This window comes from Homo sapiens, chromosome 2 (assembly GCF_000001405.40).
Source record: "Homo sapiens chromosome 2, GRCh38.p14 Primary Assembly".
NCBI lineage: Eukaryota > Metazoa > Chordata > Mammalia > Primates > Hominidae > Homo > Homo sapiens.
Genome location: NC_000002.12, coordinates 33651734 through 33669994, shown reverse-complemented (window position 1 = coordinate 33669994; position 18261 = coordinate 33651734). Strand labels below are relative to the sequence as shown.

Below are 18261 nucleotides of genomic sequence, written 5' to 3'. Positions count from 1 at the left end.
TACTAAAATACAAAAATTAGCGGGGCACGATGGCTAGTGTCTGTAATCCCAGCTACTAGGGAGACTGAGGCAGGAGAATTGTTTGAACCCAGGAGGTGGAGGTTGCAGTGAGCCAAGATAGCATCACTGCACTCCAGCCTGGGCAACAGAGTAAGACTCTCATCTCAAAAAAAAAGAACTGTATTAAAAATATACAAAAACTATAAAATGTTCATTGAGGTTAAAAAGACTTAAACATATGGAGAAATATCACGTGCTTGGCTTGGAAGACAAAGCATCATAAAGATGTCAAGTATTTATAAATTAACCTAAATTTAGCATACTCTCAACTTTAAATTCCAAAAGGATTTTTAATTAAACAAGCGGATTCTAAGCCACATTGAAAAGTAAGTATGAAAATGAAGAGAAATGAGCAAAAACTTGACCTATCAAGATGGAATACTATGCAACCATAAAAAGAATGCAAGAGGCTATTTATGTACTCATATGGAATTATCTTCCAAGATATATCGTTAAGAAGGAAAAACAGGGGTCAAAGTGGTATCATATTGTGCTGCCAGGGGAATATATAGAAACTATTCTATCAAAAAATGGTTAGCTTTTAGTAGGGAAATTCAGTATCTGAGGAGTAAAACTGAAGTATGACTATGAACATTGAGAATACTCTGTTCGTTTAATGGAGTGTTGTCTGTCTTCTTAGTTTCAAAGCATAGTCCAACAATGTTTGAGTAAAGTCCAACAATGGTTGAGTAGCTTGGTCTCACCTTTTTATTTATTTATTTATTTTTATATTTATTTATTTATTTATTTATTTTGAGATGGAGTCTCACTCTGTTACCCAGGCTGGAGTGCAATGGCGCTATCTCGGCTCACTGCAAGCTCCACCCCCTGGGTTCATGCCATTCTCCTGCCTCAGCCTCCCAAGTAGCTGAGACTACAGGCACCCAGCTAATTTTCTGCATTTTTAGTAGAGACAGGGTTTCACCATGTTAGCCAGGATGGTCTCGATCTCCTGACCTTGTGATCCACTCGTGTTGGCCTCCCAAAGTTCTGGGATTACAAGTGTGAGCCACCGCCCCCAGCCCTCATCTCTTTTTTGACTGCATCAAAAACAAATCTGGATCATTAAAGACAGATCATCTATTTCATTAGAGACAGATGATCATCTAGATCATTAAAGACAGATCACCTATTTCATTCAAAAGTCTCAAATTACACATAACTCCAAAATCATATCCTCCCTTTAAAGACAGTCACTTGGCACTCCCGCAGATACAGTATTTTTGTGTATGAATAGTCAGGGAAGGCAAACAAAAAATATATGTTAAACAAATCAAGTCCTAAAGTGTTTCAAGGAATACATTTTCGCTTTTTAAAAACTAATACATTATCCTAGTTTTCACAGTTGCTTTATTGTTTTTTCCTAGTTTATTGAATATCTAACTTTCTTATTTTGATTTTTCCAAGCATTTGATACTATGAATTTTCTGCTGTGTGCAGCTTCAGACATACTCCCTAACATTATTTTTTTTATAGAGATAGGGTCTCACTATGTTGCCCAGGCTAGTGTCAAACTCCTGGGCTCAAGTGATCATCCCACCTCAGCCACCCAAAGTGCTGGGATTACAGGAGAGAAACACCGCGCCCAGACAATTCCCTGACTTTCGATGTTAGTTTTCTCATAGTTTAAATATGTAGACTACAATAGAAGTTTGAATATTTCTTTGACCCAAGCTCAAAAACTTACTTTATGACATAAAATACACATAATTTAATATTTCCTTTGAATTAATTATAATATTAGATTTATACCTGTAATGCAGGTCTGAAGAACAAGGGACATATGTATGTATCATCAAATCTTACCTTATTGAAAAAGTTTCTGATCACTGCTGATTTGTCAACATCTGTATCTATCTAATAAAGTCAGTTTGGGCTGGGTGTGGTAGCTCACACCTGTAATCCCAAATTTTGGGAGGCTGAGGCAGGAAGTCACTTGAGTTCAGGAGTTCACGACCAGCCAGGACAACATGGAGAGCCCCTCATCTCTACAAAATTAAAAAGGTAAAAAAATTAGCCAGGCATGATGATGTTCACCTGTAGTCCCATATACTCTGGAGGCTGAGGTGAGAGGATCACTTGAACCTAGGAGATTGAGGCTGCAGTGAGCCATGTTCACACCACTGCACTCTGGCCTAAGTAACAGAGACAGACCATGTCTCAAAAAAAAAAAGTCAGTTTTGACATATAGGGGGCTGAATCCTGAATCTCTAGGGTGGTGTAACATGGCTGATTTCTGCAAAATTACTAAATAAAATTACTAAATAAATTACTAAATAAAATTACTTTTATTACTAAATAAAAGAATTACTAAATAAAAGAACAAAACAATTATATCATGAGTAATGATCCTACCCCTCAGGCAATCTTCTTTACTACTCTGGTTTTCACAGTTTTTGACCTGACAGCATCATTATAAACATCATCTATTATTTATAAATCATTCACACAATGGACCACAGAGGATTCTTTGTCATAGCCTCTCACTTTTTATCTTCACTGCATTTAGCTTATTGATGGAATGCAAAGAAGAAGTAGCCCTAACCATTCCAGGAATCCATGCAGGGGTGTTCTGCATGAACACTTACTCCAAAAGCTTTTTATTCTTTTATCAACAGAGGATGACTTGTCACAGAGATGACACTTAAACAAAATAGCCTCCAGATTTCACTTAATAAATGAATTTTAACATAACTCCATAGGCAAGAAAATAATTTAGATTTTATTTCTAATATTACATTGCCATGCTGGGCTGTATTTCTGAATTAATTTCTTTTTAAATAGCATGTCAGAGTCCAAATAATAGTGATGCAGGATTTTTCTCAGCCCTTTTGCCAGGCTTGCAGCAGGGGGCACCCTGTCTACTCGGCCCACTGGGCCATGTTTGGCTTGCACTATGGCCCACGGCTCCCATGGCTGCTGTGACAGCGCAGTCAGCCCCTGCATTCAGTGGTCTCCAATTCTCGTCCAACATCCAAGAAGAATGAGGTCACACTGACAATTGAAGGGTGATGAGGACAGAGAATTTTATTGAGTGATGAAACAGCTCTCAGTGGAGAGGAGAGGGGAAGTTCAGGTTGTCTCTCTCTCCTGCCTGAAGGCAGGCAGTCCCCACCCCTGCCCAAAGATGGACAGTTTCAAAGTGTGGCTGAGTTCAGGGTTTTCATAGGCACAGAATGGGGAGGGCGTGCTGACTGATTTGTGAGTATGTAAAAAATGTTAAAACTAAGGAACCACTCAAAGGTGGTCACAAGAGTGTAAAAAAAAATTATGGAAGGGTAGGTATATGTAAAATAGATGAAAGGCAGGGCTCAATCAGAGGAAAGTGCACCAAATAGGAAGATAGGTTCTCAATCCAGTCTGTGGATTTAACTTGTGGCATGACTTTCAGGCTTTAAACTGTCTTTGACTTGGAGGTGGGGTTTCACTAGGGACTCATCCCTATCTGCCTAAGCATTTTTCTGCTTCCTACCTCTATCATTCCCTCCTCTGAAGAGGTACATCTAACTTCCATTAGGATAAGAACGATGACCAATTTTAACTACTTCATGCTGACAGGGGCTGTTATTTTGGGAAAACAGCAGTCAGATATCCTTCAGAGGCCTATCTAAAAGTCCCTGGTAAAAAGGAGCCATCATCCAAGGCTCTGGTTGCATGAACATTGGAGTTTGATGGCCTGAAAGCAAGATGAGACAAACAGGGTTATTAGAAGACATGGATTAAAATGGAACAAGCGAATAAGGACAGCTCAAAAATCCCCAGGCTGTTGACATGCTATATTAATAGTTACGCCTGCTAAGATTTGCGTGCATGGGAATTGGCTTTGGTTAGTTAGCTGATTTGGTCTTATTTTCCCAAAAAAGAAACCTCCTGTTATGGGCACCCCATTTACTCCTATCACCGGGCAAGATTTGCAAGATAATTGCCCAGAACTAGAATATTTGATTCAGATTTTTACATTACCCATTCCTTCTGTTCCTTCTGAGCTGCAGCTGGAGATCACTGGTTGGTTCACATGAATAAGCAGGGTTAGTCTAAAATGTACATGAAAACTTAAAAACAACTGATGTGACTAGAATTTAATGACAAAAGTATAAGTTTTGAAACATAATTTTCTCTCTACAGTCCTCATTTTTGTTAAAAACAAATCATGATAGGACTGATTTGCTTGCAAAATAAACTTTAGTCTTATACTTGGCCTGATTATTTGCATAAAGTGCAGCAAAAATAATTATTTTCATATAGGCTTTTTAAATGGGCTCTGATGGAACTCTGTTCCATAAGGAATCTCAGACAAGACTTTTTAAAGCCAAGCCCAGACATGGGTTTGTATCCTCAAATACCTTTGAGTTTCCAAATTCCTCTCTTGTTGGGGTCCCAAGATAACTTGGGGCTCCTAAGCCTGTTAGAAAGTTACATTCTTTACTCACCACAGGTTAGCAACCCTGTACAGGAACTGTGTAGACAAGATATGAGGCCAGTTTTCCCAAGGGGCTTTTATTGGCTCTGCTAGTAAAGCTTGGTTCCTTAAAGGGAAGCACATCCTTCTAGTTGAAGCCTTAGTAAAACAACCAGTCTTTCCAATTGCATCCTGTTGCAAGAGAAAATGGATTCTTCTTGCACTTATGCAAGCAATTATATCACCGTAAGTTAAGAATACTCACAAATAGTTTCCAAATTCTAGAGAAACCAGGCAGAGAGAAACAAATATGCTCCAAATTTTGTTCACAGGAGTATACTTTACCCAATTGTTAAATACTGTAGCTAGCTCAGAAGAAAAGTTTCCTTGATTCTCAAAAACAAAACAAGGTTAAGCAATGTTTTAGGCAAAAAGTTAAAAAAAGATTACTTCAGTTCTCTGTTAGTTCAGTTCATTCAGTTAACTCTTTTCTGCTTGATACTCATGAACATTTCATCTCTTCATGAGTCTTGGACATTTTTCCTTTATTCCAATGTCACAATCTCCAAAGACATCAGGAACCTGAATTTAAGAGCACCTGTCAAAGTTCTATAGCTGATTTTAAACCATCTTTTGAAAAGGATCAAAACAAGACAAAAAAAAACATGACTGACAAATTCAGTTATTTCTGTGGTTTACAATAACTTAACATAGTAACCTTAATTATGATTAGATAGCATATACTTAGACATTAGAATTTTAGAAATCCCATAAAATTTTGGAACATATATTACTATTATTCACTAAAATATAACCTGAAGAAGATTAAACATTATTTTTATTCTGACAATCCCGTGTAACTAAATATGTAAAATAATCCTGTTTACCTCTCTGTTAGTTGCTTCAGGAGCCCTCTGTAGCATTCAAAATTCAGGAGTCAGAAAAGACAGTTTCAAAGCTGAAATTTGATTTTGGGAAGCCTATGAAATATGTTAAAGGTGAAAACACTTGATATAATGAAATAGAATTCCAGGTTACCATAAGTCATTTAGCAAAAAAGATGACTCAAAATTTTTTTTTTGCAGTTGCAAGATTTAATAGAGTGAAAACAGAGCTCCCATAAAATGGGAGGGGACCCAATGGCTTGAATGCCTGGGTTTATATCCCGATCATTGTCCCTCCCCCATGCTCTCAGGTGATAGATAATTGGCTATTTCCTTACCTTCTGTTTTAGCCTAATTAGCATTTTAGTGAGCTCTCTTTACTACCTGACTGGTCAAGTGTGAGCTAAGTTGCAAGCCCTGTGTTTAAAGGTGGATGTGGTCACCTTCCCAGCTAGGCTTAGGGATTCTTAGTCGGCCTAGGAAATCCAGGTAGTCCTGTCTCTCAGTCCCCCCTCTCAACAGTAAAACCCAAGTGCTGTTGGGGAGGTTGGCCGACAACCGCTTTAACTGCTTTTTGCTGAATTGGGGCATAGTAGGGGTCGTGCAGTTGAGATTTCCTCAGGAGGCATGCCTTCGATGTCATCAACATTGGAGCATGGGCTAGCAGGCCAGTCCAGGGGTCTGCACTAGATCTTAGTTGTGGACTGCATTGTGGCTCCATTTGAAGAACCATTTGTAGTTTTACAGCTTCGATTCTGGAAGAGACAAACTTAACAAAGAGGTTAAAGATACAGGGATTGAAATGTGTGGCTGCAGTGCAGGGGATTATTTCTTTGGCACACTTCACAGGCTCTGACTATCTGCTTGATAGTTTTGAAAAGGCCTGGTCCCGTAAATAATGATTTGGCTATCTGATGGGTGCTATGTGCCTAAGTGAAAGGTTTGGTGAAGGGTTTTAAGTAATTTCCATTGGTTAGCTGCAGTCAAAAGTATTTTCCCTTCTTCTGTGGCTAGCCATCCTGAGGGGAGGAAACTATGTCCTTGTGAAGTTCCCCATCCTATTTCTCCTGCTGAGTACTGGGGCTTGGTTTCCCAGAGGGGATTACCCCATACTAGGGGTCCTTCTATAAGCATTTCTAATGGAGGGTCCCGCCTTGTGGCTCTTTTGGCTTCAATATCCGCTTGGTGGTTCCCTTCTATTTCCCTTTCCTTTCCCCTCTGATGACCCCAGCAGTGTAAGACTGCCACCTCTTTAGGTTTCTGTACAGCCAATAATAATCTCCTAATGGCTTCTTGATGTTTGATAGGTGTTCCCTCGGAAGTTAGGAATTCCCTTTCTCTCCATATTGCTGCATGGGCATGGAGGACTAGGTAAGCATACTTAGAGTCTGTATATATATTTACCCTTTTTCCTTCTCCTAATTCTAGTGCCTGAGTGAGGGCTATTAGTTCTGCCAGCTAAGCGCTAGTTCCTGGAGTGAGGGGATTACTTTCAAGTATTCCATTATCACTGACCACTGCATACCCCACTTTTTGAAGTCTTTTTTCTACAAAGGAACTTCCATCAGTATACAAGTTGAGGTCGGGATCAGTCAAGGGAACCTCTAGAAGATCTCCTTGAGCGGTGCAGGTTTGAGCAATTACTTGTTGACAGTTATGTTCTGTTTTTTCTTCATTGCCTGGAAAAAATGTGGCTGGATTAAGAGTTGCACAAGTGTGCAGTCGCAGCACTGGTCCTTCAACTAATAGAGCCTGATATTTAAGCAAATGGTTGTCTGACAGCCACAAGTCTCCTTTAGCAGTGAGTATGCCATTCACATCATGAGATGTCCACACAGTAAGATCTCTTCCCTGTATCATTTTAACTGCTTCAGATACTAAGACTGCTACTGCTGCCACTACCAGTAAACAATGAGGCCAACCCTTTGTCACTACATCAGTTTCCTTACTCAAGTATGCCACGGGTTGCAAGCTGGTCCCTCAGACCTGTGTAAGGACTCCTAGAGCTATTCCTGTTTTTCTGTGACATATAAAGAAAAGTCTAGCACTGTTGGCAAGCTTAACACTGGGGTTTGGGTTAGGGCCTTCTTTAGGGCCTGGAAAGCCACTTCTGCTTCAGGTATCCATCTTACTAAATGGGTATTGGCTTTCTGAGTTTCCTTAATTAGTGTATATAATGGCCTGGCTATTTCGCTGTACCTGGGAATCCATATTCGGCAGAAGCCTTTTATGCCAAGGAACCCTCTTAGTTGCTTTAGTGTTTTGGGATGAGGATAAGCCAGTATAGGCTAGATAGGTTTCTTACTGAAGGCCCTGGTGCCTTTGGATAATTTTAGCCCTAAGTATTTAACCTGCTGTGAGCAGAGCTGAGCCTTTGGTATGGAAACCTTGTAGCCACAGGTGGTGAGGAAATTTAAGAGTGCTTGGGTGGGGCTGGGTGCAGTGGCTCATGCCTGTAATCCTAGCACTTTGGGAGGCTGAGGTGGGCAGGTCACAAAGTCAGGAGATTGAGACCATCCTGGCTAACACGGTGAAACCCGTCTCTACTAAAAATACAAAAAATTAGCTGGGCATGGTGGCAGGTGCCTGTAGTCCCAGCTACTTGGGAGGCTGAAGCAGGAGAATAGCATGAACCCATGAGGCGGAGCTTGCAGTGAGCCAAGATTGCACCACTGCACTCCAGCCTGGGTGACAGAGCAAGACTCCATCCCAAAAAAAAAAAAAAAAAGAGTGCTTGGGTGGCTTGATGGCACAAGGTTTCTGAATGGGCGGCTAAAAGTATATCATCCACGTGCCAAAGGACAAGAGTGTCCAGGTATGAGAACCAGCTCAAGTCTTGGGCTAATGCATGGCCAAATAGATGGGGGCTACTCCTGAACCCATGGGGTAAAACAGTCCAGGTGATTTGAGACGTTGGGTTTGAAGGATCTTCAAAGGCAAACAAGAATGGAGAGTCAGGATGTACAGAGATGCAGACAAAGGCATCCTTAAGGTCCAGGACTGTAAACCACTGTGCTTCCTCTGGTATTTGGGAAAGCAGAGTATAAGGGTTTGGTACAGCTGGGTATAGAGGGACAACGGCCTCATTGATAATCCTGAGATCTTGCACTAACCTCCACTGTCTTTTGGGTTTCTGTACTTCTAAAATTGGAATGCTGCAGGGGCTATTTCATGGTTCATGGTTTACTAGGCCTTGGGCTTTTAGGTCCTTAACAATCTTTTGGAGTCCTTGTTGGGCCTCGGGTCTAAGGGGGTACTGCCTTTGGTAGGGAAAGGAGGTGGAATCCTTTAGATGAACTTGAACAGGACGGGCATTCTTTGCTCATCCATATTGTTCTTCTGTTGCCCAGACTTCAGGATTAATTCCTTCCTCAAGCAGGGGACAACAAATGGGTGTTCCTTCTCCTATATTCAGGTGTATAATGGCCCCTGCTTTTGCTAGAATGTCTCTCCCTCACAAGGGAGTGGGGCTTTCAGGCATAATTAGAAGAGCATGTGAAAAGAGTAAAGTTCCCCAGTCACAACTTAGTGGCTGGGTATCTAGTGACTGGCTGTCCTAGGACCCCTCAGATAGTGAAAGATCTGGAGGACACTTGTCCGGGACAGGAGAGTAACACTGAGAAGGCCGTGCCAGTGTCCAGGAGACAGTTAACCTCCTGGCCCTCAATGGTCATGCATACCTGGGGCTCTGTGAGGGTGATGGCATGTGCTGGCACTTGCTCCGGGCACCCTCAGTCCTGCTGCTGGATCAGCTGGTGAGTGGCTTCTGACTCATAGGACTTTCGTCTGCTGGGGCAGTGGGCATTCCAGTGATTCCCTTGACATAAGGGGCATGGACGAGGGGGCGGCTTATTTCTATATGGACAATCTTTTTTAAAGTGTCCTTGCAGACCACACTGGAAGCAAGCCCCATTAGGCATTCAATTTGCCCAGCCTTTCCATGTTCCAGAGCCTCCAAAGTCTGCTTGCCTGAGGGCCATGACTAAAGTGGTGGCCTTTTTTGATCCCGTTTGTCCCGTTCCGCCTGCTCTTCCTCATCTCTATTATAAAAAACTGAGGTTGCCAAGTTCAACAGGGTTTCTAAGTTTTGCTCTCGGCCTAAGGCAGACTTTTGAAGCTTTTTTCTAATGTCTGCAGCTGACTGAGAGATAAACTTATCCTTTAAGATTAGTTGGCCTTCAATAGTCAGGTGACAGAGAGGTATGCTACTTCCTTAGTCTCTCCAGAAAGGCAATAGGAATTTCTTCCTTTCCCTGTGTTATAGTGGACATCATTGAATAATTCATAGTCTTCTTCCTAGTTTTCCTTAGTCCTTCTAGCATGCAAGTTAGCAAATGTCTGTGGCACCAATCTCCATGTTCTGATTCTGCATCCCAGTGAGGGTCTACACTGGGAACTGCCTGCTGGCCTGTGGGGAATCGTTCTCTTTCCTCTGTTGTCATCCTATCATTGACCTTACTGAGATACCAGAGATCGCCAAACTCTCATTTGGGGTTAGTGTCTGATTTAGCAGTAACATTATATCTCTCTATGTCAGATCAAAGGATTGTGCTAACCCTTGTAAAATGTCAATATAGCCATCAGGGTTACCTGAGAATTTACCTAGGTCTATTTTAATTTGCTTCAAGTCTGAGAGGGAAAAAGTTATATACACTCTGGCTGGGATGAATTCTCCAGAATACATCTTAGGGGTGTTTTTGCCTTGAGGGGAACATTTCCCATCTGAAAAAAGAACATAGAGATGCCAGCACCCCTAGTCATTTTCTGATAAGCATTAGTCCTAGAGCATCCTCTGTGGTCCTAATGCTTATTCCTTTCCAGGGTGTGTAACCACCCATGGACTTCTGCTTATTAGATTAGTTACACTCACCGATGTAGCAGTCCTGCACCTGTATTCCCACCTTTCTTGACCACAAAGAAAGGGGTCTGGGCTGCTGGATTCTAGTGGTCCTTTACCAGCATGCCCAACATTGCCTTTGAGCTCAAGGGTGAGTTCTGGAGACAGGCTGGGTTCCTGGGTATTTCATAATAACCCAGTTGCCCCATCAAGATGCATTCCTACAAACAACAGTTCTTATGCAAATTCATTTCAGAGAGGGTATGGGTAACCTTTTGAGTCAGGATTGAGATAGAGTTTTTTGATTTTGTAAGTACTTTAAGGCTTGGCTGAGTGCAAACAGCTCGCACGTTTGAGCAGACCAATTATTAGGCAATTTTCTTAACTCTGCTTCTACAAGAGTTTCCCTCAATTATTGAATACCCATTGTGGTTTTTTTCTCAATCACCTGGGAGGAACCATCTATTGTCCTGTCCTGAAGGGAGTTCCTCCTAGGTCTGGTCGGACCTTTGTATGGTAATTAAGATTTAAATCCGCTGTTAGGAAATCTGCTGGGTTAAGGGAATTTTCAGTGGTTAATGTTAAATTATCTTTCTCTAACAGAATAGCCCCATACTTTAAGATTTTTGAGTTAGTAAGCTATCTTTTTGCTTTTTTGACTTAGGATAGTTCTGAACTGGTGAGGTGTGCTCACAGTGAGGTTTCCTCTAAAGGCTAATTTTCTACTTTCTTCTGTTAGCAAAGCAGTTGCCGCTACAGGTTGAATGCATTTGGGCACCCGTGGGTTCCTGGATTAAGGATTTTTTATAGGACGGCTACTAGTTGTCAGTGGCCTCAGTGCTTTCAGGCTATGCCCTTATTTACACTGACAACAAAGTGGTATTGGAGTGTTATAGGGTCACGGAGAAAACCTTCAGTTATCAATTATAGGTTTTAAATTTACCCTGGCTTTTAAAGAAATAAGGTACACTGTTTTTTTCTTTACTACTTCTATCTTTCTCTTTCTCACTTACTTTTTCCTTTCCGTCTTTGTAGATGGATTTTTGGAAACACAGTGGAAGGACGTTCGCTCATTGCCCCATTTGCCACTATAGGAATATGCGCCTCCCTTTTATTTACTCAATTTGCTTTCATCCTGATCTATTATGTTGTTGTAGAACCAGTTCCAGTTGTTAAAGTACTGGGTTATCAATTCTAAGGCCCTGGCAAGGGTGGTGGGGAACGGGTCCCACATAACTGCCCATGTTGAGAGCTCTATGCCTAAATTGGGAGGGACACCAGGGATAAGACTCCCTGGGTTCATAGCCTAGGGGCCTAAGGGTGCAGCATAGATCTTCCTTAGAACCCTTTGGAAATACAACCTGCTGTAATACTTGGGAGAGGAAGTGAAAGTCTGAAGCATCAGTATCTAGGAGGCAGGGATCAGAGGAAGTAGATTCAGAGGTAAGGAGAATTTTGGGGCTATACTTTCAAGAAATTTGTGGTCAGGACCCAGAAGGTATGGGTCAGAAGGAAAGGCAGGGGCGCACGCATGGGCGACTGTTGAGTAGACTTCTGGCTGTGCCATAATCTCAACCGGCTAATGCTGGGAGTTCCAGACGACAGCTTTCTGCCTCTAGTTGGCCCTCAGTTTCCCCAGGAAAATTGAAAGTGCAAGCTGGTTCCAGGCAGACCATGCTTCCAACCCAGAAGGGTTGGGGGTTGTTAGAAAGCCCTTTCCCAGACAGCCTCACGCCTGAGTCTTAAGTCTGGTGGCCATGCTAATCGTTTTTAACTGGCCAACAGGTGCCTGGTATTTTCCTCCAATTCTAAGGAAGGATAGGACAGGATAGCAAGCGAAAGGGTCCAATATTACTCACTGCTTTGGAGGTCCCTTCATGGTCGCCAAAATGTTACCGGTTGGGGTGGGGGCTTGTTCTTAGAGCTCCCAAGATGGTGGCAGCCGCTCTCAAGATGGCAGCAAGCCTCTTGTTCTCTGACCTGGGGTTTGGCCTCACGGATTCCAAGGAATGGAATCTGGGCCATGCAGTGTTATAGCTCTCTTAGACGCTGTGGGTCACGGAAGATAACCGTGGAACCCAGCAACTAGTGTTCAGCTCGATTAGGATGAACCCGGGCACTTAGCCGTGCAGGAACAATGGCAAGTCTTTAGCCCAATCCGGGGTGGCAATGGGCGCCTCACTGGATCAGGAGCACAGCAGACACCCTGCCAGATCCGGAGGGGTGAAAGTCAGCAGCGGGTCTGTGATGGCGGCAAACAGCAGTGGTAGATGGCGAGTGAAAGCTCAGCTCAAGCTGTAACAAACACGGACCAGAAGAGTGTGCAGTTGCAAGATTTAATAGAGTGAAAACAGAGCTCCCATAAAATGGGAGGGGACCCAAAGGGGGTTGCCCTAATTAAGCTGACTTTCAACCATAACACTCTTTCAAAAAAATATCCTTTTAAATCCCTTATTACCCAACTTTAGCCACACCAAGTGGCCAATATTTCTGGCTTTTAAACTTTGCCAAAAGTAACCTCATAGGTGAAACCAACAAGCCTCACCTAAGGCTATGACTTAACCGTGAGTGTACAAGGTATTTTCAAACAGGTGGTAAGCAGTTTTTACAAAATCTAGAATCTTTAAAGGTAACTCAGAGAAAGGAAGATTTAAGAAAGGAAGCTATTATGGAAGTTGTTCATGGAGGGGAAGAGAATCAGCAAATGGAAAAAGTCACACAGATATTAACCAGAAAATACTCATTCCCTAAGCCAGGATTGAACCTGGGCCACCACTGTAAAACGGCGGAGACCAAAAAAGTATTGCCATGTGGTTACAAGGTCAAGCTCCCAAGTAGGTAAAAGAAAACGGAGACCTCATCCCATTTTTTTTCTTCGGAGACCTATAGCAAAATTAGCTACTGACCAGTTTGTCAGGCTGACTTGAACAATGGGCTTATGGGGTCCTAGACCCACTTTTTTTTTTATTATACTTTAAGTTTTAGGGTACATGTGCACAATGTGCAGGTTAGTTACATATGTATACATGTGACATGCTGGTGTGCTGCACCCACTAACTCGTCATCTAGCATTAGGTATATCTCCCAGTGCTATCCCTCCCCACTCCCCTCACCCTACAACAGTCCCCAGAGTGTGATGTTCCCCTTCCTGTGTCCTTGTGTTATTGTTCAATTCCCACCTATGAGTGAGAATATGCGGTGTTTGGTTTTTTGTTCTTGCGATAGTTTACTGAGAATGATGATTTCCAGCTTCATCCATGTCCCTACAAAGGACATGAACTCATCATTTTTTATGGCTGCATAGTATTCCATGGTGTATATGTGCCACATTTTCTTAACCCAGTCTATCATTGTTGGACATTTGGGCCTAGACCCACATTTTATCCTAAGGTACCCCTCTTTCTGATAGAAAGATACAGAAAGAGAAATTCTTAACACAAAGTATCACAGATTCTCTATAGCTTAAGACTCACCTCACAAATCCTTTTTCCATTAATCACAACGTTTCAGAGTATATAAACAGTGATTTTTATCATTCATTCAAACAGTTTGCACAGAGAGAGAGAAAAGCCAGAAGTCTGATGGGTAAAAAACTTTTACTCGTTTGCCAGCATGTCAGGCTTCTGGGTTCCCTTCCCCCGAGCTATGAAGCCCTTTGACCCTGGAGTTCCGTAAAGGGGGAGCAGACAAATAGGTTATTTGCATACTGTAAACATTGTCCTTCCTCAAGAGATTGCTCAGTTAGAGTTTTCCCAGTTCATTTTTTTTTTAAGTCAAGTGATTTAAGGTTTATGGAAATTAAACTTTTCACAGAGGGGAATGTGAGTTATAATGTCTTCCCAGTTCATTTTTTTTTAAGCCAAGTGGTTTAATGCAGAAATTAAACTTTTCACAGAGGGAAATGTCCTGTGGTATGGAGACATGATTATTCATCCATGAAGAGAGGACAGAGGAGGAAACAGGAAGAAGAAGGTTGATTTTCTCTTTTCAAAGGAATCCCAGTGATTCAGGATGCATTGGAGAGACATACAGACTGAAGATGGTTGGTTACCCATCTGGAAAGAGGAGAAAAAGGCGCCCCTTAGTTCTTCTCTCTTCCTAGCAAATACCCAGGGTATGTGAGGGAGAGAAAAAAAGGTATCCCCTTTTTTCTTCTGTCCTTATATCCCCAAGTCCCAGGAACCTTGGCAGTTGCTGCCCATGGGTGCCAATGTGGCTTTCATCCATGTAACAGGGAGGCCTAGAGGGTAGGAATTATCTGCACCCACCTACGTACTAGCCTATCATCCCTGCTGTCAGTAACTTCATCTATGCCATGCATACAGGCATGACCTCCATCCATGAAATGAGGGGTGCCTAATTGGCAGGAATTAGTCAGGCTCACCTATGCTGTGCCCCTTAGCTTCCATTGTTGCCTGCCTCTGGATCCCTCAGATCCAATTTTCCTTTCTAAGGCTTCAACCTAAAGCTTGGAATTGAGTTTGGGACAAAAAGATGCCTCAGGAGGATGCATGGACTCATAAAATTAAGTCCCAGGTGGCCCTCTCCAAACTTGCAGCCAGCAGCCAGTGGGAGCACTCCTCTGTTGCTTCCTTATTATAAGCAGAGTGCTAAGGTGAAGCTGTGGAACCAGGTTGTCCTCAAACAATGGAGAGAAAGGGGACCTAGCCTAATAAGACGCCTTCTAAAAGGAAAAAAAAAATCTCTTGCATAGAAAAGCTCCCCGTATTTACAGGTCTATGTTAACTCCTAACATGGTGGAGAAAAGAAACAAAACAGCTTAAGCGCAGGGAGGAGAAGGTGCCTGGGGGAGTAAGCCTCTTGCTCTTCTGCAAATGGGATCCTTCAACAGGGAAAAAGCTCTTAACTGCTGCCTTTTCCCCATTTCTAAGAATGGACAGAAACTCCATTGTTCTGAATTACATTTTTGATGACTGGGCCAAGTGCCCAGTCTACCCAGTAATATTTCTGTAGTTTGCAACAACACACTTAACATTATAAAAGAGAGGTAGGAGCCATCATCACCATGAAAGAAAGAAAGAATATACCATAGGAAAGACTGGAGGTCTTGGCCAACAACCTATCGGGTGGTCAGAGACTGGAGTCAATCCAGGGGCCTTTGGATAACATTGAGGTGTAGCCTCAACCAGATGCCCTCAGTTGCCCCAGGACTTCCTTCCATTCCTACGCAACGGTTAGACCTCCGTGAAAGGAAACAAAGCCACCATTCCCAACACCCGGGATGACAGGTTGGTGGAGGTAGCAGGGTCCACATTCAGTCACCCTTCCAACAAATCCCAGACAAGCCCCCAGATACAATGCAGGATTTTTCTCAGCCTTTTTGCCAGGCTCACAGCAGAGGGTGCCCCATCTACTCAGCCTACTGGGTCACGTCTGGCTTGCACTCCAGCCCACAGCTCCCGTGGCCATCACAACTAAGCACTTAGTACCCATGTTCAGTGGATCCCAAATTTTTGTCCTGCATCCAAGAAGAATGAGGTCACACTGACAATTGAAGGGTGATGAGGGTGGAGAATTTTATTGAGGAATGAAACAGCTCTCAGCGGAGAGGGGATGGGAAGGTCAGGTCATCTCTGACCTCTCGCCTGAAAGTGGGCAGCAGTCTCCCCACTACCCAGAAGTGGGCAGTTTCACAGTGTGACTGAGTTCGGGGTTTTTATAGGCAAAGAATAGGGAGTGTGTGCTGATTGGTTTGTGAGTATGGAGAAAAGGTTAAAACAAAGGCCTTGCTCAAAGATGGGCATAACAGGGTCAAAAAACAGTTAGGGAAGGGTAGGTATCAGTAAAATAGGTGAAGGGGGGAGATCAATCAGAGGAAAGTGCACCAAACAGGAAAACAGGTTCTCAATCCAGTTCACGGATTTAACTCGTAGCTTGGCTTTCAGGCTCTAAACTGTATTTGACTTGAAGGTGGGGTTTCATTGGGGACCTGCCCTTATCTACCTAGGCATTTTTCTGCCTCCTGTATGTATCAATACCTTGACTTATGGGTTAAATTGATGAGGTAACACTGACAGACAAGATAGTGCCAGATAAATAGATAAATAATGATTGGGCCAGGCATGATAGTTCACACCTGTAAGCCCAGCACTTTAGGATGCCAAGGCAAGAGGATCACTTGAGCCTAGGAGTTCAAGATAAGCCTGAGCAACATAGCAAGACTCCCATTTCTACAGAAAAAAAAATCAAAAAATTAGCCTGGCATGGTGGCATGCACCTGTAGTCCCAGCTACTAGGGAAGCTGAGGAAAGAGGATTGCTTGAGCCCAGAGGTTCAAAGTTGCAGTGAGCTACGATCACAACACTGCACTCCAGCCTGGGAAATAGAGTGAGACCCTGTCTCAAAAATGAATAAATAAATATTGATTGATTGATTGGGGAGACAGAAAGAGAGAGAAATTAGATTAGATAGATAGATGATAGATAGATAGATAGATAGATGATAGATAGATGATAGACAGATAGATAGATAGATAGATAGATAGATAGATAGATAGATAGATAGATAGACAGGTAATTACCAGATCCCAGCAGGGTATCTTCTCACTGGGCTCTGAAACTGTTTAGCATGGAACAGCTTTGAAATCCTCAGATCAGCCTGTGACTCTCAATTCTCATCAGAGTTCCAAAAATACTTCTTCCTCTATTAAAATATTAGCTTACTCTAAGTAGCAGCTACACATATGGTTATAATTTCCAACTATTGAAATTTTGCATTTGTAAAAGGGCATTCTTGGCACCCTAAGCACCTCCTTTGCCTCACTTCTGTGCCAGCCCTGTTGCTGGGCTACAAAGGGATTGGGTGAAGTTCAGAGCTGTAATAACATGGACATTAACAAATTTCCCACCTGGTATTCACAGTCCAGTGAAGCCTGCTCACGTCAGTTACATTTTATAGAAATACATAAAATTCATCCATGTAAAAATAGTCAAATCCTTTCAAAGCCCTTTAATAATCTGCAAGTCTCACCAACTAGGCCCCGGATTGCCAGCCACTGCTCAGCATTGAAAATGATGTGTAAGAAAAAACTCAAAAGAATATTATCTGTAGCTCTGTGTTTTGCTGATAACTTCTTGGTAGCTGCATCTAGTATTCAAATTTAGGTTTTGCTTTGAAATAGTAAAGTCTCACAAGAAGAAAATAAACAAACAAAATAAACTAAGTAGCTCAGAAGATAATATTTCCTCACAAAATAGCTCAAAAATAGTCATTTTCTACGGAATTACTTTTCCCCCAGAACTGTGAGTATGCTCTGATATTATCAGAAGGAATCTGAACTCAGTTGAATAGGATGTTACCTCTCGTTCTGTTCAGATGTTATTAATAAGGACAACAGCTATCATATTCAGTATATACATTTTTTAAACAAATGCACTTAACAATGTATGTTTATTGTCTCTTACCCTCCTGATAACCTTGTAATGAAGTTAATATTCCCTTTTCACAGCTGAGGAAACTGATGCCTAGGAAGGTTAAGTGACCTGCCAGAGGAGACAGAGTTAGAAAATGGCAGCACTACCATCACATTGAGTTGTGTCCAGTACCAAAGCTCTGTCAATTTTGCTACACCTTCTAGTCTGGTAAAGGCAGGGACCCTACAGTTCTTGTCCAAGTGTCTCCTATGACAGATGGACACATCCCCATGGGGCTTTTAAGAATTTGAAGAAACACCAAAATATTTGCAGGAAAGTGAAACAAATAGTACCAGAGGCAATACACATAGAGGTGATCATGTTTCTTGCCACACTTCTCCATGATAGATCATCATCAGTCAAATTATTCCAGGCCATAATTGAAATTTGATATAACATAGATTATAATTAACTTGAAATGCTTTAGCTAATAACCTGCACCTTTCTCGCACTCAAATATGAATCACAGAATACAGAAGAATGAAAGTAACTGTGGTACAGGTACAACACTGAATACACTCTAAATTATCATTAATGTTAAAGCAAATCATTTGTAAGCTTTAATAGTTTATTTCTAGAAATCAATTTCTTGCGACATACTTCACAGCTAATTGTGATATATCTCTCTGTCAACACCGCAGTTAGGAA

General features: G+C 42.1%; 2 long non-coding RNA genes across 6 annotated transcripts in view; both read right to left on the bottom strand.

The window, feature by feature from the left end:
- Positions 1-2759: 2759 nt before the first annotated feature.
- On the bottom strand, positions 2760-13171 carry LOC124905986 (uncharacterized). The gene is made up of 2 exons (XR_007086274.1): positions 12040-13171; positions 2760-7022 (listed from the first exon to the last, which is right to left on the bottom strand). It is a non-coding gene; the product is annotated as an uncharacterized LOC124905986 (long non-coding RNA).
- Positions 13172-13757: 586 nt separating this feature from the next.
- LOC105374455 (uncharacterized) overlaps positions 13758-18261 on the bottom strand; it is a 56893-nt gene continuing 52389 nt past the window's right edge. For all 5 annotated transcript variants that reach the window (XR_939941.3, XR_939942.3, XR_001739394.2 and 2 more), the window contains 2 exons: positions 17605-17682; positions 13758-14235 (listed from right to left, as the gene is read on the bottom strand). This is a non-coding gene — a long non-coding RNA (uncharacterized LOC105374455). The remainder of the gene's footprint in view (positions 14236-17604; positions 17683-18261) is intronic.